The following is a 23,394-nucleotide window of genomic DNA, read 5'->3' as shown; positions in this document are numbered from 1 at the left end:
AGAAAGACCAGCCTGGCCAACATGGTGAAATCCCATCTCTACTAAAAATACAAAAATAAGCCAGGCATGGTGGCAGGTGCCTGTAATACCAGCTACTCGGGAGGCTGAGGCAGGAGAACTGCTTGAACCTGGGAAGTGGAGGTTGCAGTGAGCCAAGATTGTGCCACTGCACTACAGCTTAGGCGACGGAACAAGACTCTGTCTCAAAAGCAAAAAACAAAACAAAACAAAAACAGGCTACAGGCCAATTCTGGCCAGCAGGCTATAGTTCTACCAACCCCTGTTCTAAACAGCAATCAAAAAGATATCCCAATCACGAGATTACGTTGAAAAATGATGAAACTACTTGGAGAGAGACTTCTTCAGCCAGAATCACTGCTCAACTTACAGGAGCACCATTGCTGTATCACCCAGCCGTGGGGAGGAAGACCTGTACACACATCACAATGCCACTCTGCTTGCTGCCAAGGAGTGCAGGCATGGGACAAAAGCCTCTTTTTTCCTACTCTGGAAAAGTAGCTAATTCATTTTGCAACATAATTCAGAAGTGGAGGAGAAGGGTATTGACAGAATGCCCATGGAAACATTATGTCCCTATTCTTGGATTAATTTAAATTTCACTACATTACAGGTGACCTTGCATATATCTGTAAATGAAGGAAGCTAATTTGATGTAAAAACAAGTGGCTCAACTGAAAAGAAAATCTCCACAGAGTGGAAGTTCCACAATATAAAAGGGACCACTCACTGCTTTTAGCGAAGTCTATGTACCCAAGTTTAGAGTCAATTCCAGCAGAAGTTTACATGGCTACATACCTAAACCTGTTTCTCCTGCTTTTCCACCATCAACATAAAAAAATGGCCAAACCACACAAACGGGGGCAACCAAGGGCTATGGATCCAGAGAGTTTACCTGGTTCTCTTACAGGTTCAGTGTTTACATCAAGGCCCCTAAATTAGCAACACATCCACCAGACCAACTTTCTTATGAGATAGGGAGGAAGAGTAATGATGCCAGCCTTTGAGGAGGGAAAGATGTTTAGCTTAGTTCAGAGCTACATCTGCTAAATTTTTTCAGAACAGAAGAGAATCAAGTTCTACTTTAAAAGTAGGTTGCCATTATATCTTTTTTTTTCCAATTTAAACATCTATAACAATTCTTGCCTCCACAGACATTCTCTTTATAAGGAGAAAGAGATATTAGAGTGTCACATCAAAAACAACATTCATAATTCCCAAGCAATTTGAGAACAAAAACTCATTTCAAGTTCAGGAACAGAAAATACAAACAGAGTTCAAACACTGTCAGATATCTCAAATGAACACATATTATCTATAAAAAGATTAATGTGAAAAGACAAGCAACGATTTTTACATAGATTAGCTACCACACTAAGAAGATCTGAAAATTATTCCTTAATTTAGAACTGTCCTGAAAGCCAGCACAGTATATCTGCCATATCGTATGTTGAAGACACAGAGCATGAAAGATAACAACAGATGATAACCTTATTAACTTCCAGCCACTTAAGCAAGGTCACTCATTAGACATTAAACACGATAATTATAAACTTTAAATAATCATCTGACAGGTTTCTTTTAAAATTCAGTCACATCATTTCAGAGTCCCGCCTCGCTCCTGGATGTCTCAAAATTGCATCAGGCATGGGCTAGAGAAATTATAAAAGATCCATACACTGAGATGCCAAAATGATGTTATAGAAAGATATTCACAATGCTTTTGTTGTGCAGCACCAAAAATCCAGGTTATAAAGCAATATGACTTCATTTTTATTTAAAAAAAAATTAATGGTCTGGAGGAATGTATAATAAAGAATATTAGTAATGGTAACCTATAAAAAGTAAATAAACATAAAAAGTAAAAATAAAACTTGATTTTTATTTTTGCTTATTTACATTTTCTAATTGTTCTACCCTTCACATAATGCTTTTGTAATGAGAAAAAATTGTTTTAATTTAAAAACATGCAGCATACAAATGTTCACACAAACGAAGCTATGTTCCAGTTACTGTTGCAGCCTTAGAGCAAACTCTCAAAAGCAAGTAAATAAATCAGAAAGGAGTTCTATTCGGCACTTTATTTAACGTTTAAAATTTACAATTATTTACTATAAGAGGAAGTCACGCTAATAGTATCCACCTAATGGGGAAAACACTGAAAAGCAAAGACTTTCAAGCAAAAATTAACAGCAAGTCTTCAAATTTGTGGCCTCTAACACAAGTATGGTTTGGACGCGCATGTGTTTGAAAGGTCCTACTATTTTTTTAAAAAATGGAAAGAAAAAGCTAATAGGTTAAGTGGTGGGAAGACATTGCCATCTTCCAAAAAAGTTGAAGTTCTAGTAACTTTGCTCTGTTTTGTGAGGATCTTCCTGAAGGGCACAGTGGCCTTAAGGACCAAATCTGAGCAGTCCTTGCAGGCAAGACTGCCGTTATTATTTTACTCTGGATAAAGGTAGTTGGAGATTCCAGCCAGGTGGGTGACCCAGAGAGCTGGCAAACAGGTGAAGCCATCTATATGGCTGGCTTTCACGGGTCTATGATACAGTTTGAATATTTGTCCCCTTCAAATCTCATGTTTAAAAACTGATCCTGAATACTGGAGGTGGGGCCTGATGGGAGGTGTCTGGGTCATGGGGACAGATCTTTCATGATTAGCCTGGTGCTGTACTAGAGGTAATGAGTGACTCCTCACACTATTAGCTCCCTCGAGATCCGATTTTTAAAAACAACCTGGCACCCTTCTTCTCCTCTCTCTCTTTCCTCCTCTCTTGCCATGTGATGCCTGTTCCCCTTCCGCTTCCACCATGAGTGGAAGCTTCCTGAAGCCCTCACCAGAAGCAGGTGTTTCTTACAGCCTGCAGAAATGTGAGCCAAATAAATCTCTTTTCTTTATAAATCACCCAGCCCCGGGCATTTTTTTTTTTTTTTTTTAACAGCAACACAAATGCACTGATAGTCTACCTGGGATCATTTCTGGTTGGCTGGCCAAAAGCTAGATGGCTATGTGCTTTATCTGCAGGAGCTTCTCCCTAGAATTGGTTCCACCATCCATAACTGGATTTAACTGTGAACCAAAAATACTAAAAGGTAGCCCAGACTTTGCATACTTGGTCAAAGGGGATCTTTCTCATCGAGAAGCCTTATTCTGGGTGATTTATTGCTTTGGCTGATTTTGGTATACTGTATGACCTATAAATAATTGCTAACAACAGGTAGGATGTTAATTATATGATGCAGTGATTTGGAAATAATACATTATTTAACATTTCCTTAAATTGTTTCTCAACCCCCTGTTAATACCCTTCCATAAATGGAGTGAAATTGGTGACTTCTGAGTTAATTTGGTGCACTTCAGCAGTCACTTGGGCTTCCAATCTAGCTCAACATTAAAGGCATCCTATGTAAGGCTAATGATCAAAGGGAGCCCTTCAGTTCTCAATGTCTGCCTCCCCGTCACCACCACGTGAGGATCACAGTACTCCCACCGCACTGGCTGAAGCTCGTCATTAAAGGATAAGCTTTCAAAATGGGAGCGGGATCTATTTATGATCCGTAAATACCGTTTGCCACATATTTTAAATGCATAATACCGCCCTGGAAATGCTACCAGATCATGTTTTGAACTATCCACTTTAAGGTTACAGGATCTTCTTAAAATTATTCCAAAGGTTTGAAAAACAACTGGTTTATCATATCAACCATAATTTATTTCTACAATTATGTAAATTATTTCAGGATTCACATGGGTATTTAAAATTGAAGCCAAAATAAACCTACAAAATATTTACTTTACTGATTATCCTTTAAGTCCACTATAAAGTTTGTTATTTATTCAAGAAATACTAGATGGAGTGGGGAAAAAAGCCAAATGGATATATTAGGATTAAAGTGCATATTTGGCCTTTTATTTGTCCTGGATCTGGCAAAAAAAAACCTCATTGTGTGACATTTAATATAACCAAAGAGGCCATCAGTTCCTAAATAAGTAGCATAAGCTACCCATAGCATCTTGGCAATGTCATTTTTTTCTAATATTTCCAAGAGTTTTGGAAAGGTTAATGTCTATTAAGAAAGCACTTTGAGGTAAGGTTTCAAAACTCTACTTTTTTCCTGATTTTCATTTCCAAGAAAAACAAATCACCATTTTCGCTGAAGGATATCAAACATTTCAGATCTAAGAATTTGATGTCCATACACATCTTGGATAAGCAATTCCAAAAGTTAATTAGAGTAATGCAAATTCAATGCAGATATAATCACTAATTTTTGGTTTTGCTTTGTTTTTTAATGAAAATTCCTATCAGTTTCCACTAGAAGTTCTACTCAAAGATGGCAACCATGTTATAATGGCTCTTGGCCATTATAAACCACCTTAAATGTCACTGAGTCAGTTTAATAGGCCCATGTAAATCATGGCTTGATTAGAGAGGTTAGAAACAGTATTAGAACATTTTCAAGCTTAACATGTTATATACGTGTTTTCTTAACACAAATTGTCAGAGCACAATATTTTTTAAAAGTCTACCATATAAGCAATTAAAACATGCCCCTTCCCCACATTCACTATACTGAAATTTACATGTGGAATTTTCAAAACAAATAGATTTTTCAACCGCCAAATATTTAACCATGCCAAATCAAGGATTTTCAATAGCATTTCTTGCAGATGAATCTATTAAGCAATTACGCATTAGTGTCACAGAGTAAAAGTAGGCTGAATTTCTGCACTAACAAACACTATGCATTCATTATTCTGATTTTTATCAATTCTGATTTTTGCAGAACACAATCCCTTTTGTCCTTGAGGCTCAGCTTATTTACAAAATAAACCATACAGTACACCTACATATGTAACTGGCTCAGCTAAAATGATGTCAAAAAGGCCACAACTATTCTAAGTTTAAAATTGTAGAATTATTTTAGCTTTTGATTTTAAAATTTAACATGAAAAAAATCCTACCTCACGAGCTAAGCAATGAGGATGCAAAATCATGAGAATGACAGAATGAACTTTGGGGACCTAGGAAGAAGGGTGGGAGGGGGGTGAGGGATAAAGACTATACACGGGTATAGTGTACACTGCTTGGGTGACAGGTGCACCAAAATCTCAGAAATCACCATAAAAGAACTTATCTATGTAACTAAAACCCATCTGTTCCCCAAAAACTATTGAAATAAAATTTTTAAAAATACTACCACATAATAATGTTAACTAGATTTTTTTTCAATTAAAAAAAATCAACAAATCAGCTAACTATATCTCTAAAGAGCAACTGGGACGTACCTCATAGACAGTTTAAAGCTCAAACATAAATGCTACTACCTCTGTCCAAACGTTTGCAAATCAATAAATCCAACGTGTTAGGTAAGTGAAATAAATGCCTCTGTCAGTTTGTTATTTGTAACAAACTAACTTCAAGGAAAAGACTTTCTGAAGAGCTTGAGGTCAGGACCAACATGATCCTCATCTGTATATCCAGTGAAATACAGTGGGACCTCAGGAAGTGCTGGGTGGGTATTAGAGACCCATACCCTAGAATGCAGAAAAGACCTCCTACTTACAGGCAATCCAAGAAGATATCCTTTTGGAAGGCTAACAACATATCCTATCTAGTTTCAAATAAGCATGGGTTCACCAGCAGCACTGATTAAAACTGAGCCTGCTGGAATGGCAAATTAGCCTAGTAGCAATTTTGCCCCCACCAGAGAAAAGTCAGAAACATCTTCCTGAGGTCAATATCTCATGACCAACTGGCAGACCACACACTGGCAAATGGAAGCATGAAAAAAGAAGAAAAGAGACACATTTAAACACCCCTTTGGACTTAAAGCCAGGGAAACAGTGGTAACACAAAGTACCTCACTTCATAAAATTCCCAACCACTGAACTCTCAAAGTGAGGTCTGTGGAGTGGGCCCCACCCACGATCTGCTGTTGCTGGTGCACAGGAGATAAATACAGAAACTGAGAAGAAGCACTGAGGAGGAGCAATTTGACAAAGAGTAATTGTTATATCTATTGAATCTAAAAAATAAAAAAACCCGAGCTTGTATTTTGTATATTGTTCTTTTTCATTTCACTTTTCCAGTAATTGGTTTTTACTATATTTTACAAGAAGTATTGATCCACAATGTATTGGGAATCTTAGAAAAGAAAGTCTTTTAACATAGAAAGGTTGAGAAGCATCACACAAGAGCAGCCACAATAAAATTCTGTATGAACAATATGCATATTATGCTTGCAAGGATACCGATTTACCTACGGTCATCTCTTAAATGAGATGAACATTAAGACTTTTCAGAAGCAGGTAATTTTGTCCATGGGTAATACACTAAGCTCTATATACTATTATCTTTTTTTTTTTTTTTTTTGAGACGGACTCTCGTTCAGTCGCCCAGGCTGGAGTGCAACAGTGAGATCTCAGCTCACTGCAACCTCTGTCTCCCAGGTTGAGGTTCAAGTGATTCTCCTGCCTCAGCCTCCCAACTAGCTGGGATTACACGCACTCATCATCGCAACCAGCTGAATTTTTCTATTTTTAGTAGAGAAGGGGTTTCACCATGTTGGCCAGGCTGGTCTCGAACTCCCAACCTCAGGTTATCCACCTGCTTCGGCCTCCCAAAGTGCTGGGATTACAGGCGTGAGCCACCGCGTCCAGCCTCTATATACTATTACTTTCTGATTCACATTGAAATTAATCTAGAGATACTTGAATTGAGGACCAGAGAAATGCTATGTAATCAAAACTGTTTGCTGGAACTCAGATAATAATTAATGTTTCCCTTGAAAAGGGAGAACTGTGTGATCAAACGAGTTTGGGATATATACATCCTATCCCATGGCCCCCTCTGGCAAAGTCACATTAGCATATTAGGATTCTGGGAAGGCCAGTAATAAAGATATGTGTTTAATTACACGAATGTGACCTTCTTCATCTAAACTCATATGAATGTCTTATTCAGAAAACACAATTTTTGAAATGTTCATAGTCAAAAGACTCTGGATTAGCAATAAAAAATCTGTCCAGCTATTTCTTTTCATTGGCTTACACCACCCACCCTACCATCTTTCCTGAGCTGTAGCATCAAATAAGACAATTATGTAAAATCACTTCACACAGGTTGAGTGTTGTGGCTCACTCCTGTAATCCCAGTGCTTTGGGAGGACAAGGCAGAAGGATCGCTTTAGTCCAGGAATTCAAGACCAGTCTAGGCAACAAAGCAAGACCCCCATCTCTAAAAAACATTTAAAAATTAGCTGTGCGTGGTGGTGCATGCCTGTACTCCCAGCTACTTGGTAAGCTGAAGCGGAAGGATCTCTTGGGCCTAGGAGTACAAGGATATAGTGAGCTATGATCACTCCAGCCTGGGTGACAGAGACAGATGCTGGCTCAACATGTTTGTCAACATGTTTGAAAACAAAAACATGTTTGTCTCAAAATCAAACAAACAAAACATCTAGCTGGGCGCGGTGGCTCATGCCTATAATCCCAGCACTTTGGGAGGCTGAAGCAGGTGATCACTTGTGGTCAGGAGTTCAAGACCATCCTGGCCAACATGGTGAAACCCCATCTCTACTAAAAATACAGAAATCAGCTGGGTGTGGTGGGATGCCTATAGTCCCAGATACTCAAGAGGCTGTGGCAGGAGAATCACTTGAACCTGGGAGGTGGAGGTTGCAGTGAATCGAGATGTCACTGCACTCCAGACAGGGAGAGAGAGTGAGAGACTCTGTCTCAAAAACAAAAAAAAACAAAACCACAACACCTCGTACAGAAAGTAAGCTCCTTCAAGACAAGGAATTGGCCCCAGTCCTTTGTTCCCACAACACCCTATAACCCAACACACATAAAGTGCCCAGCATAACGCCTAAGCTCTTTTCTATGAAATATTCCAGTTGTCTCCTCATCCTCCACACACCCAGGAAAGCCAATTCCAATAGTCATTTATTGGGCCACTCCCTTGGAACTCCTAGTCTTTAGGGGCCTCCCTTGCACTAGCAGGTATGGTGTGGGAGGCACCTTCCTTGGAAATGCACACGGGGCCCAGAGTGGAGCCAGGAAGAAGCCCTGCACTTGGCAAAAGGTCCAGCTCATGATCGGGCTCCCTTGGCCTCAACTTCAGAGCAGACATTTCTCTAAGACATGGTGGGCTGCAGGAGTGGGGTCGGTAGGACCCCAGCAGTGCAGGACTTGGGTGCTCAGGTGCCCATGGCCATCTCCCATCCTAAACCATCTGCTACCTTCTCCCACATACCACATGGTACTCAGTAGTGAGCCATGGGCCTGTCAGTATTGCATTTGTCTCAGTGGAAGAACAATCTAAACACAAGTAACATCACAGCCTCAAAAGAGACAGCACTGAACAAAGAAATCACGTCAGGGCTCGATAGCATCTCTTCCCTACCTAACGCAGTAATTCAGCTCCTATTCAACCACTAGCCCCCCATTCCAACAATCAATAATAATACATTTTCCCTCAAACAACTGTATGTTCAACTTGTTTGGCTCCTCTGTTTACTTCAAAGGCAGCACGCAGAATTTGAGCAACTTCTACAAGGTCATGTGATCAGTGAAATGTAGGACAAGGAACTGGTTTTTTGACACACTCTAACCACCAAACCACGAAGTCTCTGTGAAGGTCAAGATTATCATGAAACGTTATTTACATAGTACACAAGTTGAGTCCTTGCAGCTGTTACAAACACGAGCCACAACTTTAAAAGAATAAAAAATTAAAAGGAGCCCTTCATGTTACTTACTATTCACATAAACATTAAATGCTATGGCAGCATTGACGTCAGAATTGGACACTAGGAATGTGTAAGTGCCTCCTTCGGTGCCTTTTAATCTCGTTAGATGAAGTTCACTTACGTATCTACAAAGAAAAGACAACTAGTCAATCACCTGTGGATAGCATGCCTTGGAAGGCATGTCTTTTTCAGTTTCTACCTGGAAATCTATGCCTGTTTGAGGAAAAATATAACTCATTTAATTCAGTAAGTATTAGCAAAATCCACATTAACAAATACATAAACACGCACACACATATTCCATCTGGGACCAACGCCTGTTGTGAGAGACCACAGAGTGGGGAAAGGTTAAGCACAAAGGCAACCTGACAGAGGCTGCAGCCTCTCCACTGGCCCACCGCCTCCCGCCTCCGCCCTCCCCCCACCACCCTGGGCTGTCCGCATACCACTTCCTCCCCTGCCCATGGTGCTGCAGGAGCCTGCTCTCCACAGTGTCCTGAACTCACCTGCCCTGCATGCACATGCTCACTGCCCTCACACAGACACTCTGGGCCCTCAGCGAGGTCCACACTGCTCACCTTCCTTCTTGCAACACCCCCATCTCCTGGTTTTCCTCCACCCCGGAGACTTCTCAGTGCTCCTGGCAGTATTTGCCACTCAAGCTTCTGACTTCTTGCAGGACCGCCATATAGGGCTGTGTACACTGAGCACCCTACAACCCTGTCGGGGTTACTGGCAGGGGCTCCGATGTACATGTGTCACCCTGGGCAGTCCACGACCCACACGATCCACATGGGCCACAACACCAACTTGCCATAGGCGGTGTGCCAACTCTCACACTATGCAAGCTCCCTGGGCAGCCCACTCTCTCACACTGAGCTGCTGGCTGCTGGCTCACAACCTTCACGTCTTTACTTCCAGCGCAGGGTTCTCTGTACCATGTCTCCTCTACAGAGCTACTTTCATGCCCCCAAACACTTGCCTGCAGCATTCTCCCAAGGATTGCCCTTGCGCAATCCTTGGAAGACGTTGACCGTGCAGCCAGGTCTGCAGCCAGTAAGTGACTGATAGCTGGAGAGGTGCAAAAGCCCCGCTCAGCTCCTGGATAAGACTGAGGCTTGGGGTCATCTGAGCCACATCCTTACTTGCCTCCTTTCCCTCCCATGCCTCTTCCCCTACTCCCTGGTCAGTCTATCCCTGCATAAGTCACTTGCCTCAGAATCCCTGTCTCAGGCTCTGCTTCTAGGGCGTTTGGCAAAAGATACTTCCTACCTAAACAATCCCACTCAAGATCCCACTATCAATCTCAAATCCAACAAACCCCAAAACAAAGTCACTGTCTTTCCTCAGAAACTTGTCCCTCCCCGTCCTCCTGCTCTCCCTGAATGGTATGGTCTCTCACCACCCAACCTAAAGGCATCTTCAACTCCTCCCTGCCTCTCCTGCCCTCTCAATCACCTGGAGACCTCCCAAATTTATCCTCTTCCCTCCAACCTTTAGTCCTTGGCCCAGGACGCTATCATCTCTCACCCGTATTTTTCCAACAGTCAACAGTCCTGACTGGAAAAATAGAGCAAAACCCTATCCAGGCACTTAGCCCTTATTAGCCGTTCGGTCTTGGTCAAATTACTTCACCCCTCTGTACCTCTGTCTCCTCTTCTATAAAAATGGTGGGAAATAAGAATGTCTACTCACAAAGTCTGTGAGGCTTCAGGTCAGTGGGTGAATACACGTAAAGTACTTAGAACCATGCTTCAGAAAAAAAGCACTTATGTCTTACCTGAAGTATTACTATTGCTACTATTTTTACTATAATGTTTTGAGGATCAAATGAGAGGTCTAGTGTAAAAGAACATGGGTTCACTGCCTGAAGCGAAGTTATTTGGCTCTTAGTTTTCTTACAGCTTTAAGAAACAATTATAGGTACTAACTTCCCTTTTTCTCTGAAGAGACTTGCTGTATCCCGAGTACATGAAAGTTACTGCTTTGAGCTAAGCTCAGATCTCTAGAAAACTGTCCTCCATTTTACAAGTGAGAAAACTGAGGCACACAGGTGTGTGTGTGCATGCGTGTGCAAGAGTGTGCATGCTCTAAACACACAACAAAATGGAATACTAGGATGAGGACATAGGAGGCAGCCCCAGACTTTCTTCTTTACCAGGTATCTTCTCGTGGATTTACGGGTTACAGAAATAAGATCTGATAAGCCCACTGGAAAAGGGGGTAATGTGTAATCCCCCAGGGCAAGGTCCATTTCTTACCTGATATTACTTTCATTCTCAGACTTGGGATAATCTTCCCATTTATCAGTGAAGGTTCTGTTCATATAGATCCACTGCTGGTGTTCAGGTTTGGGGAATGCTTCATATTCAACAATCAAATCTACATTTTCTCCATCGTTTACAAATACTGTAGTGTTTATCATGGGGAAGATATTAATGAATCCTTTATCTAATTAGAATGAAATAAGACAGAAAGAAACCATTATCTACAACTACTGGACAAAAAAACAGAACCTCATCTTGGAATTACAAAAACAATTGGTTGATTTCCAGTATTAATTGGCAATAAGAGAATTTTAACTAGCTGTTTTTCATTTTATTTTGCTCTTGTAGAATCACTGTCACAAGTGAGAAAGGACACACATTTGAAATACTGATTCTCCCATCTCTGCCTCTTAAGCAATTCTCTTAAAGATCTATCACCATCTTAAAAGTCTTCTAAATCTACTAGTCTTGATGTTTATTAGGTTAAAAGAATTTGGAATAAATAGTGAGTTCATACACAGACCCAATATATAATTATATATGTGATAAGGTGTCATAAATTAAGGGAAAACAAGGGAGCCCTAATGTTTAATAAAAATGTTCAAAGAATGTTCTTTAGTATTTGAAGAAAAATAACCTTAGGTCTTCTTATATATCACAGATAAATCAAAGAGCATTTTAACAATAAAATGTTATTTTTAACTAAATAACAATTGACTCCTATGAAATTTCTACAGAGGGGAAGTTTCTAGGCTTTTTAGAAGCAACAGAAGAAAAACATCATAGAAGACAAATTTAAATCCATAAATATTTTTAAAAGTCTATATAGTAAAATAATTAATGTAACAGGAAAAAGGAGAATAAAATGTAGAAAAAATGTTTAGCTAAACTAGTAATTAAAATAAGACATCACTTTTCACTTATTAAAAATAGCAAAACTAATTTTAACTAAACTCAATAATTTTGCAAGTGTGGTAAAAGTAGTATGCTGAATTACACACTGTAAATTGGCACAATTCTTTTAGGAAGCATTTAGCAATATAGATTTTTTTTTAAATTATCTATTCCTTGATTAAATCTTGTAATTTCCATTTGAGAACTCTTCTTAAAATGAGATAGATAGCTACAGGCCAAAAACAAAAGTGCTATTTACACTATTATAAGCTATTATAATATAAAATGGCAAAATAGAAAACCGGTTAAATAAATAATGGAGTCCTTAGAAAAGGTGATATAATAATATAAAAAAGATCTTGAAAAAGAGAGCAATAAAGTAATTGCTAACATTATTTTTATGGCCACCATTTATGTGCTTACTATGTGTTAAGAACTGCTTTAAGTACTTTAGCATACCTTTTACTTAATAATTGTGACACTTAATCTTTTGTTTTGTTTTGTTTGAAACAGGGTATCCCTCTGTTGCCCAGGCTGGAGCACAGTGGCACGATCACAGCTCACTAAAGCCTCGACTTCCTGGGCTCAAGCAATCCTCCTGCCTCAGCCTCCCAAGTAGCTGCAACTCAAGCATGTGGCACCATGCCCGGCTCATTTTTGTATTTTTTGTAGAAATGGGGTTTCACCATGTTGCTCAGGCTGGTTTCAAACTCCTGGGCTTAAGAGATCTGCCCGCCTCAGCCTCCCAAAGTGCTGGGATTACAGGCAGAGCCTCCAATTCAAAACCAGGTAAAATGTTAACAGCTCTTATCACAAAACAAAAAACAAAGAAAGGGTAACTTTGTGAGATGATGAATACATTAATTTGCTTCACTATAGTAATATTCTTACTATCTATATGTACCCCATAACATCATGTTGTATATCTTAAAAATATACAATAAAAAAGTAATTTCTTAAAAAAAGAGTGATACCAAAGCCCTGTTCTCTTCATCACTCCATCATGGATCCAAACCCTCCTCCCAGCCACTAAAAAATTACTTTTCTGTTTGTCTCCTCCTGTTCCTGTTCCACCTCAACCCATTCTCAAAACAATACAAAACCAGATTCAGGTTTCACAGCCACAAGTCCTTCCAGTCATACAGTGATAATTCTTGGAAATTGATGAATGGATTTTAAAAATCCGATTACATACAACAATGTTCTCAAAACATCCTTACTAATTGCTTTCTGGAGCTGAAGCTGATATATCAACATGCTCCCTAATCAACTTAGCAAATTAGTGCTTATGGAGTTTAATATTTTAAAAGCATAGCCTTCTATTCAAATTAATAAATGGTTCACAATCATGTTTAGGAACAAAGTAGTACACTTTCTGTGTGCTGACTATAATTGCAAGTAAAGTATCTTTTCCATGTTCAGTCTGGGGAGAAACTTTCCATTATAACATGGGCAGAAACGCCAAAATTTTACGAGATTATTGTGGGATAATCACAAAGCTTTAATACTGCTACATAAATTATTGAAGAAATTTGGTGAGGCGGGGAAAGAGATGAAAACAAATACCGCATCACTTTATTATTGTTCTTGATCAAGAATTTTGCCACCTTAGAAGTATTTAATGAAAGTCTAACACTAGGAATATGGTTGTACTAAAAAGACAGAAAAATGGATTAAATTCAAACAATACTCAAAAGACAAAAAAATTGTAAACAAAGTAATTTTAAAATTATTATTATTCTCAGTAAATCAAAAGCATGAAGAAACTCACTATGCTCTGCTCTCTTTAAATAAAGATGCTTGGAAAATAAATATTTAGTGAAATTTCTAGAGTAGAGAAGATAAGGCTGAACCAATTGTGCATACCAGATATGATGGGGTCCGGGGACAGATTACCATGTTGTAGTTTATGCTCCGTAGAACCAATGACCTGTGTCCCAATGGCACTCCTTCCTGAAGGTTTATGCTATAATCTTTATGCTTAGAGAACAGGTGAGATAAGGAGGTAGGGAATACTAGGGAGGAAAAGTCCAATTCAGTCCTTACTAGAAGGAACTAGATCTGATGAGTGGCAAAACAATAAACCAAGGGGCACAGCCCCTACCAAAAGTTTCAGAGAAATACTTCAGGCTCTAAGCATTTGTGTTCCTTGATAAATTCTACATCCATTTCCAAACTCAAGTCATTCAGCGAGCACTAGCATTTTTGAAAAATCTCAACTTATGTTTTGTTTGGTGGGGAAAGGAGGGTGAGGTGCACAAAGAATAATAGGTTTGAACAATTTTAGTAACAGCTTTCCACTTTCCTCCACTAAACTGGTAGAATTTGGTTTTGTGCTTTCATTGCAAGAGGCTACAAGGATAATTTTCATTCATTCAGTGATAACAAAATTCTAAGAATCTGTTCAACATTCCATTTACATAAAAAAGAAACTGTCTAATAATTTCTTCTTTCACTACTGCCAGTAATTTAAACATTCCCATAGAGGTATTTACCTACTACTTCCAAGGTTGTTGTGACATTTGCTGATCCAAAAGTATTATTGGCATAACACATGAACACTCCAGAATCATTAACTCTCGCTGAACTGATAGTCAACGTTGCCTGACGTTCATAATTGAAGTCACCGTGATGCCAGCTATTATATTTCTCCTGTAGTTTAGTCTGCTGGTTTCAGAAAAGGAGAAAAAAAAATGAAGATTACCATATAATTTATATTCAGAATCTTTCCTAGATAAATTAAAAATAGCAGCAATTAACTTCTCCATATTAACTTTCATTATACACTACTTAAGTAAGAATAATAAAGCATCATGACAAGTCTGTCATTGGAACACTTCATATTACAGGATTATGTTGAAAGACAGTCATTATTAACGATTGGGAAAAAAACGAAAATTCATTTCTTAACCCTAGTATGTATAATTCCAAATTCTATACAACGCTAAATTTTAAAAGTTGCTATCTCTGAAATATTATGGGATACTGATATTTTGTAATATGAGTCAGCATATTTTTGTCATGTCTTTTTCTCTTCTATGTCCCAATGACTGAGAGCGAACACATTGCTAATAACAATAATGTTCTATTTTATTAAAATTTATTATTTGCAAGAATGAAAACAGAATCACAATGTCAACAACTAGCTTGGAAACTCATCCTGCAGTTCTCACCCAGCAGAATCTTGTAAACTACTGAAGGGAGTTCCAAGGTATAAGAGACATCTAAGAACAAGGCCCAAATTATTTAAGCATGAGCTGAAAAGAAAAGGTTGTGAATTTACCCTTGTGATATCACCATCTCACTCATTTTTTGTCTGCAGACAAGACATGGAGAGATTTCTTGTATTTAAAAAGTCATGGGGAAACCATAACATAAGCTACAGCAGCTTTCTGAAAAGATTAAAGAAAGTCTAATATAGCTTTCTGCATCTTCCAAATTTTCTGTAATGTACACACACTCCTATTACAATGGGGAAAAAAACAACCAATTAAAGTAAAAGGAGCTAATAGTGACATGGAATGAGATCAAGGGTGATTCCTTGGCGAGGCTTTGGTAAACCTAATAGAGTTAAAGCATCTGACAGTATTATAAATCAGAAAAATCCTTCTGGAAAGGAGCTTACCAGGATGTTCATACCCTCTGATCAACTGCAGCAAATTTAACTCAAGGAAATTGCTCAACAGAAAATAAAAGCTTCAATATGTTGGTTGTGGTAAAAACTCAGAAACGACCTAAATGTATATCAAGTATAGCATTATGACTATAAGAGAGGTGTTTACCTACTTAAAAAGCACAAATTGAATGTACCTTAAAATTGCAATTATCTGATAATACATATGCATAGGGGAAAAGAGAAAAAATATGAAAAAATGCAGACTATATAGCATTTATAAGGACTAGACACTTGGGACTACTAAGCATTTGAAATCTGGTAGTCCAAAGTAAGTTGTGTTGTAAATATAAAATATGTCCTGGATTTTGAAGACTTATATTTAAAAAAATGTAAAACACCTAATTAGTAATTTTTATGTTAATTACATTATGAAATAATATTTTAGACACACTGAGTCAAATAAAATATATTATTAAAATCAATTTTACCTTTTTTATTTTTTGTAATGTACCTACTAGAAAATTTAAAATTACATATAAGGTTCATGTATTTCTATTACACAGCATTGCTATCTATGACGGTGGAATTATACCTATTTTTTAATGTTATTAAGGTTTTACAAATATTTTTACATTAAAGTAACCACACACAAAAGTTGACTGCTGAAGCTGAATGTTTCAAACTAAAAAGAACAGAAACCTGCTTTGCTGTTAACTAATCGTGAGATCTTAGGTAAGTCAAGAGCATCACTAGTCTTAACTTTTAGTTTCTAAAAGGGTATGTGGGAACAAAACTATCTTTAAAGGCTTTTCTAGTTTGTAACACTATGTAGATTTCCTACTACCCCCTTCTAAGAGAGTCTTCTAATAATTGGCAGAAATCTACCATTTCACAGCATAAGATCAATTGTCAAGAAGATGTAAGAGCAAGGTGAAGCAACATTTTCAAACTGGCTTTTCCCAGTTCATAGTTTCACAGACTTCTCCACAAAGGCAGAGTGACAATGGACAGATAACATATCAAAGTCTCAATTTAAGGTATCTTCCTTCTAGTTCTTTCAAGAGCCCAAGAGTCCACAACAGAACTCAAACAGGAACTCTGAACTTGTCAGCGCTGAAAGGAATAGTGCAGTCATAAGAGATGCAGCATGAACATCCAAACCCAAAGCCCATAAGTTAGGATACTGTCAAAGATTCTGATTACAAGCAAGTAAAAATGTGAGGGTTTAGAGGCATTAAGAAAGCTAACCAACTAAGATTAACAGTATTGAACAAACTCCAAGACTCCCTTGCGCTTAAACAATGGCAACAATGCTAAAAAGTCATTTTACCCTAAATTACATTGTGAGTTAAACTTATTCCAAAGGGTCAGAATAAAATATTATGGATTTTTTAATAATTTGATAGTGCTAATAGTATTCTAAATTAAGCCAAAAGATATCAATAAAAGATTCATGGATGAACCTTGGCAGACAGCCATGAGCCCCATCTGCAAGTCACACATTACATATTGTTTGCACGTGATTTGGTTTTCCTTAACCCTTGGAGGTGCACACTGGGATTTCCCCAAAGAGCTCCTAACACTGAAGGCTTATCTACCAGCACCAGTGGATTAATTGGGACTGGCATGCAGGGCTCCTGGGAAAAATGGTTCAGAACAAAACTGCCTGGGGCAATTTAATTTCTCATCTCAAAAAAGGATAATGTTCAAGTTATACAGAGGCTCAAATGCACACCCGGTCTAAATTGTTCTCTCATCTGAAATCAAGGATTATAGAAAGCCAATTAATATGAGATTGTATTCTGTAAGGTTAGCCAAAAATCCATACATAAGCTATTTTTGTATTACATTATATGATACAAAAACTAAAATGTTTCTCTGAGTCATTGGTTTGAAAGAATAAGTCTATGGTACAATCCATTCTACCAGTCAATGGCAGGCTTCATTTAGCAAGATATCATCCATCACAGGTCTACATGAATATCATCACACTGTCTTTGCATTATGGCAATCACCATGGTTATTTGTTTAGCAAAGAGTTTTTTAAACAGGCATAAAATTGCCAATGTTGAACATGGGGCAGGAGGAGGAAGAGGAGGAGAAAGAAAATATAATATTTCTTTTTTCCAATATAATGCTTGCATGGGTAATGAATAAAAACCACTGTGATAGCTAATTAACTAGATGGCCAAGATTATTCAAACAAAAATTACTGAAAACTTGGTCAATGGGAAGTTTAAAGCAAAGTATTTGGAAATTAAGACAGTGTAAAAACTCTGCTCTTTTAGTAGGGATAAAATTTCAGTAACTAGCTAAAATTTATTTAAGATATGCCTAACCCAGTATCTGAGGTATAATGGCATTGAATATGCATTTGTTAAATGAATGGGAACGTAAGCATGCCCAGATGTTTCAGATTAAGGATAACAGTTTTATTAATAGTGACTAAAACAAATAGAAAACCATTAGCAACTTAATCTCAGGTAACCAGCCTCAAAGGAGGAAATCAGATCCTTACAAAAAGAAACCCATCTTCAAATGGATAGGCCAATTTGTGGGCGAGGGAAGGGTTTTCTGGTGAATAATTGAGACTCTCTATTCTTTTTAAGTATGGAAGTGGCAACTCTTTTCAATATTTTAAATAGTCTGGCCTAAACGGTATCAACAATAGCTTTAAATCAAAGTATTCATGCAGTTAACCATGTTTTTTAAGTCCCTAACAGTTTTTCAAAGAAACAGCATGAAGTAATAACATGAATCTGAAGTTCTCTCAAGTTTCTCAAAATAAATGTATAAAATGAAATTTATTTGTTACTAATAATAAATGTATATATCTCCATGTGGAGGTATGAAAGGGGGAAATATGCAATCCCAACACTCTCCCAGACAATCCACCTCTGACAGACGCACTAGTCGAGGCAGTTTCAGGACAGACTCTTCTGAAAGAGAAAACTTATCATCTCCCACAGAGACAGAACATGAGAAGAATGAAGCGATTCACTCACCTGACTGTTTTCTCTTTTCCACGTTGAGTACACAGAACTAGACACATCTTTTATTGTGCACGTCACTGTGAATTCTTCCCCTTCCCTAAGAAGATAGCTTGCTTTGGACACAGACACAACAGGCACAGCTTTGAAGGCTAGAATGAAAAGAAATGTGGCCCCTCAAATAATTTGTATTATAGCATGAAATTTTGATTTACCATTTCTCCTCAAATGTGTACAGCTTACTTTGTCATCTTTTAAATAAAATACAAAGCATGGTGCTAACCTATCTGTACTACTTGCATATCTGAAGGTACCAGCAATTAAATCAAGCATCCTTCAAGTAAATTGAGTGAAAAAGACAGAAATGCCCACTGTGAGATTATAATACTTCTGGAAAACACTTTTTCCAAACCAAGTAGAAGCCCTAGCATAGAGAAGCTGCTTTAATCTTTATTTCAGACAACCTTGATGGTGTCAGGAGGATGTGACCAACAACTACTTATATTCTTTTAAGCAAACAGGCGTCTTTCTCATGCAAATCCTACCCTGCTCACCTCTGGAAATCCCAGGTTTTAAATAATCAAATTTTCCCTAATTTCAATAAGTATACTTTTTCAAAAGCCTTAATAAAAACTGTACTCAATAGCTGAATGCCAACTGGTGTTGAATTAGATGATCTCTGAGATTTAAAACCTAGATTATCTTCCAGCTAACGAAATATTCTACATAACGGCACAACCATAACAAGTTCCACAGTCAACTGGAATTTTCCTTCTCAGATCTCAAACAGTTTGAGGATGCATTGCAATTGATCAGCTGAAGGGAAAGTCAATTCATATGTCAATAGTAAATCAAAGAATGAATCATCTGCATGCTAATCTTTTCAACCAACATAATTCAAGCTACCCAATGGGTTTCCCTTAGAACGAGTACTTGATGCAATTATGAAACTTTGGGCTGACTTAAGTCAGTCCAGTCTAAATGCCAATCTATGGCAGATACATTCACCTCTATGAGAGGCAGTCATGGAACTGCCACACGGGGTCAGGACCATGAAATAAACAAATTCAAAAGCAGATGACATTTTTTGAAGCTGGGGGAACTATGAACAGCTAGCTCCCTGATTGACTACACTAAGGTGGATCAACGAGAAGAGAAGTCTTCTTTAGATAAGTGAGTTCTCAACTCCCAGAGGCAGATAAGAAAGAGCCAGTACCTGGCCTCACTTTCAGGATGAATTTTTCCGACAGCACTGACTTGCCCTCCTGGTCCACAGAACAATGCAGACAGAGCCGATGGTAGGCGCGTTTCACACTTTTGATCATGATGCCCGCCTTGGGGTCAGGAATAAACCTCAAGTCCTTGGGAAGAGGCTTCCCCTGGCACCCCTTGAGGGAATAATTGGTCACTTCTGGGTCTGTGAGAGGACAGCGGACCAGCGTGTCGTTGTCTTCTTTCCCATACAAGGAGCGGTCAACAAGGAAAAGCTTGGCAGGATCTATAGAAGCATATCCAAAATCAGTAGTTGGAATGGCTGGTCACAGACACTGAAAACACTTTTTAAAAGATCTAATATGTTGCCTTTCATGACTAGTGGCCCAAATGGCTGCTTTTTTCTGTGTAAACAAAAGCAAAATTTATCCATCTAGTACTATTGAGAATTAACATTTATTAAACGCTTTCCATGTATCACGCACTAAGCTTGGACCATTACACTTAATCTCATTTAATCTTCAAATTGCCCCTCCCATGATCAGTACTATTATTATTGCCATTTCATAGATGAAACTGCGGTGTCATAAAAGCAACCCTCCTAAAGTGACATGACCTGGAAATGGCTGATTGGAACTCAAACCCAAGTCCAACAGAGAGCAATATTTGAGCTCTTAAAACTTTGGGAAAACTTTATTACAACTCCAGGGATCATCTGCCAATAAGCCAGTGTGATGATTCCTAGTGAGAGCAGGAAAGGCTTCCTCCTTCTAACCACTTGGTGCAGGACCCTTTCCAGGGTCCAGAGTCTTTCGGCTTCTAAAGAGAATCCAGAAAACTCTCACCAGGCCACCCAGTACCCATGATAGGTGAGTCTCACTTGATTCATATTCCTCTGAAGAAACATGTAAATGTAGCTTCTGGAAATCAAATAATTTCAAATGCACAAGGGGAGCTTGTGAGTTTCAGGAATTCTGTGGCAAATACCATAGCCCACCAGGACACTTGTGAGTGAAAGTGAACACCATTAGTGTTTATGACAGGACACCAGGAACAGACTCGGAGTGGCTCAGGCTGACTGGGGCCTCATAGAAGCCAGACAAACCTAATTTCGTATACACAATATGCTGCCACTCTCTACAGTGTCATAATACAGATACATGTTTAGGCCCACAGATTACATTTAAAATCTGTTTTTAAACTGTCCTTTCCATCTGAAACTCAGGTGTTTCACAAAATGAACTTGACATCATTGAAATAGGTTTGTGTTTTATCCTTGATCAATTTTGAAAAAAAAGTTTTCCAAGATAAATTATGCATCTCCCAACCTTACTAATTTATTCTGCAAATAAATGACCTCATGATGGTTGAACTATGGATGGTCCCAGGCCATAGCTAGTTACTGTTTTATCTACTCTTTGTAGGTCACTTGAGTCTAGCTCCTACAATGATGCCCCACCTTCCTTCATTGCTGTAACAGAGATTACTTAAGTATTCAAACATCTTACATTTGTTATAATTAAGGATAGTTCCAAGATACAGAAGATGACTTTCCCTATGAAGAATGTTTGTGAGCCCTGTTAGAGTGATTTAACCAATTCAACAGTTTTCCTCATTTATTCAATTGTCATGATACTTCATTGCCACCTGGAAATTGCAAAATACCTTCCTGAATGTAAAGAACAGCACATGGATTAGCTCAGCAATCACAGAAGCATGCCCTGAGGCGAAGTGGTGACTTACCAGGGTATATCTCTTTGCAGCTACCTACTTCGGAAAGGACAACTGATAAAGCGGAGAGGCACAGTCAAACTTTAGAGTCAGCTTTATTCGCTCCTGATGGAGCATGTTAGAATTTGTACCATCCTGGCTCCCTAACAATTACGTAAGGAAGACAGAACAGATCATCTTATCCAAATACTGTAGTGAGGAACTGAACTCAGGAGGTACCTAAGATCTCCAATCTAGAATAAAAGTATCCATTATTCATTCACAATACCATGGATAAGGCCTCTCAGGCCTGTTTCAAAGACAGCCCCAGTCCAGGGGCACCCAGAACTAGAAAATAGAACTCTATTTCTCCTCCCGTCACTTGGATATGTCCCTTAAGCTGCCAGTGGATCAGTTTTTACATCAACTACAAGATACACCCCTGCCCAGCATGCTTACTCTTGAAAAGGCTATTAAAATCACAGACAAATCACTGAACTTGTCATAGGAAATAAAGCAAAGAACTCCAACTACCATATTTATTTTTCTTTTGTTTATAAGAGGTCACATTTTTTTCTATGGACAACTCTACAAAGAACCCATGACAGACATGGGATGTTTAGCTGACCAAATTATTTTTCTGAAATTTACTCCTTAAGAGTGGGCCACATCTTTCGAAGTGTCGGTCTGGTTAGGCTTTGAGAGGCCTTCGGCTCCCTGAAGTGTTTTTACTAAGTGGGAGTATCTAGTATCTCAAGGCATTAAAATGCAGCTTTCCCAAAGGGCCTAATTGATTCTCAGGGTTTACTCAAAGCACCAGCACAAATGGGCTAAACCTACTGTAATCTCATTAGGAAGAGTATCACAGTCCTGCAGTCCTCCAGCTGGGGCCATACCCAAAGCCACTATGTATCATATCAAAAGATGGGAGAGAACAGTGAAGAAACATGTGTTTTAGGCCTTCTAGACCCAGCCAGAAATATTTTATCTATGGCTCAGTCATCCATATGTCATCCAAAATTAAGAGCAGGATATTAAATTCTTGAAAGCACAGCACTGCAGAAAGCCAAGCATTTACCTCTAACAAACACATAAATGGAATTGCTTAAGCCGTGTTTGTTGGTGCACGTGTATTTGCCGGTGTTGGTGGCTTCTGCCTTTTCCGTGATCCATTCATTCTGCTTATTCTCATTCGTTTCATCCAGGATCTCAAAAGTCCATTTGACAAAGCCCGGATCAGTGCATAACAGCCTAATCTCGTCGCCCACGCGGACTATTAAGTCTGATTTTCCTGGATGGATGGATGGTGGAGACGGTTCCCCTGGACTCACAGATGGTTGAGAAGAGCCTGCCAAGAAAAACAGAATCGTGTTGAGTATGATCTTCTTCCTTGGCGAAATAAAGCACTTCTTCCAATACTGAGTTCCATCTTCTGTGTACTCTACAATAAAAATAGGACAAAGCTGCCCTGCTATTTATGGCTGAAAAGAGAGTTCTGTCTAAAATGTCTTAAGTTCATCTATAAAATTATTTTCTCCAACCCTCAATTAATCCTGAGGGTCACATTTGGTCCCCAAGCCAGGATGTGCTGAATGCCCCAGCCTTCTCTGGGCTAAACATACAATTGGGTCAAGTTTTCATTCTGAATATGGGCCATCTTCGCAGTGTGGACATGCAGACACCCAGCTTAGAAACAACAGAAACAAAATCTCACACTATGGGGAAAAAGAAAAAAGAAACTACTGGCCTGTCACTCTCTTTGGCAGAATATACATGACCATGACATAGAATAGCTTTTCCTTAAAACTGTGTGAATTCAGTTATTTCTGTATAACTCTCTTTACATGGCAATGTTCATCAAAAGGAGAACTATTCACAAATCTCTAAACACTAAGGCAGAAAATGATACACCTGTTTTAACACCCTAATG

General features: G+C 38.6%; 1 protein-coding gene across 8 annotated transcripts in view; it reads right to left on the bottom strand.

The window, feature by feature from the left end:
- KIT (KIT proto-oncogene, receptor tyrosine kinase) overlaps positions 1-23,394 on the bottom strand; it is an 82,759-nt gene that overhangs the window by 22,392 nt on the left and 36,973 nt on the right. For 4 of the 8 annotated variants that reach the window (NM_001385284.1, NM_001385290.1, NM_001385288.1 and 1 more), the window contains exons 2-7: positions 22,543-22,812; positions 19,759-20,040; positions 18,558-18,694; positions 14,432-14,603; positions 11,037-11,226; positions 8,785-8,900 (exon numbers count right to left, since the gene is read on the bottom strand). In NM_001385284.1, coding sequence (NP_001372213.1) covers positions 8,785-8,900; positions 11,037-11,226; positions 14,432-14,603; positions 18,558-18,694; positions 19,759-20,040; positions 22,543-22,812 — 1,167 coding nt within the window. The remainder of the gene's footprint in view (positions 1-8,784; positions 8,901-11,036; positions 11,227-14,431; positions 14,604-18,557; positions 18,695-19,758; positions 20,041-22,542; positions 22,813-23,394) is intronic. The other 4 variants (NM_000222.3, NM_001385285.1, NM_001093772.2 and 1 more) reach the window with 1 other exon arrangement.

The sequence above is a fragment of the Homo sapiens genome, chromosome 4 (genome assembly GCF_000001405.40).
Source record: "Homo sapiens chromosome 4, GRCh38.p14 Primary Assembly".
NCBI classification, from domain to species: Eukaryota; Metazoa; Chordata; class Mammalia; order Primates; family Hominidae; genus Homo; species Homo sapiens.
The sequence above is the reverse complement of the archived record's forward strand: the minus strand, read 5'-3'. Positions and strand labels throughout refer to the sequence as shown.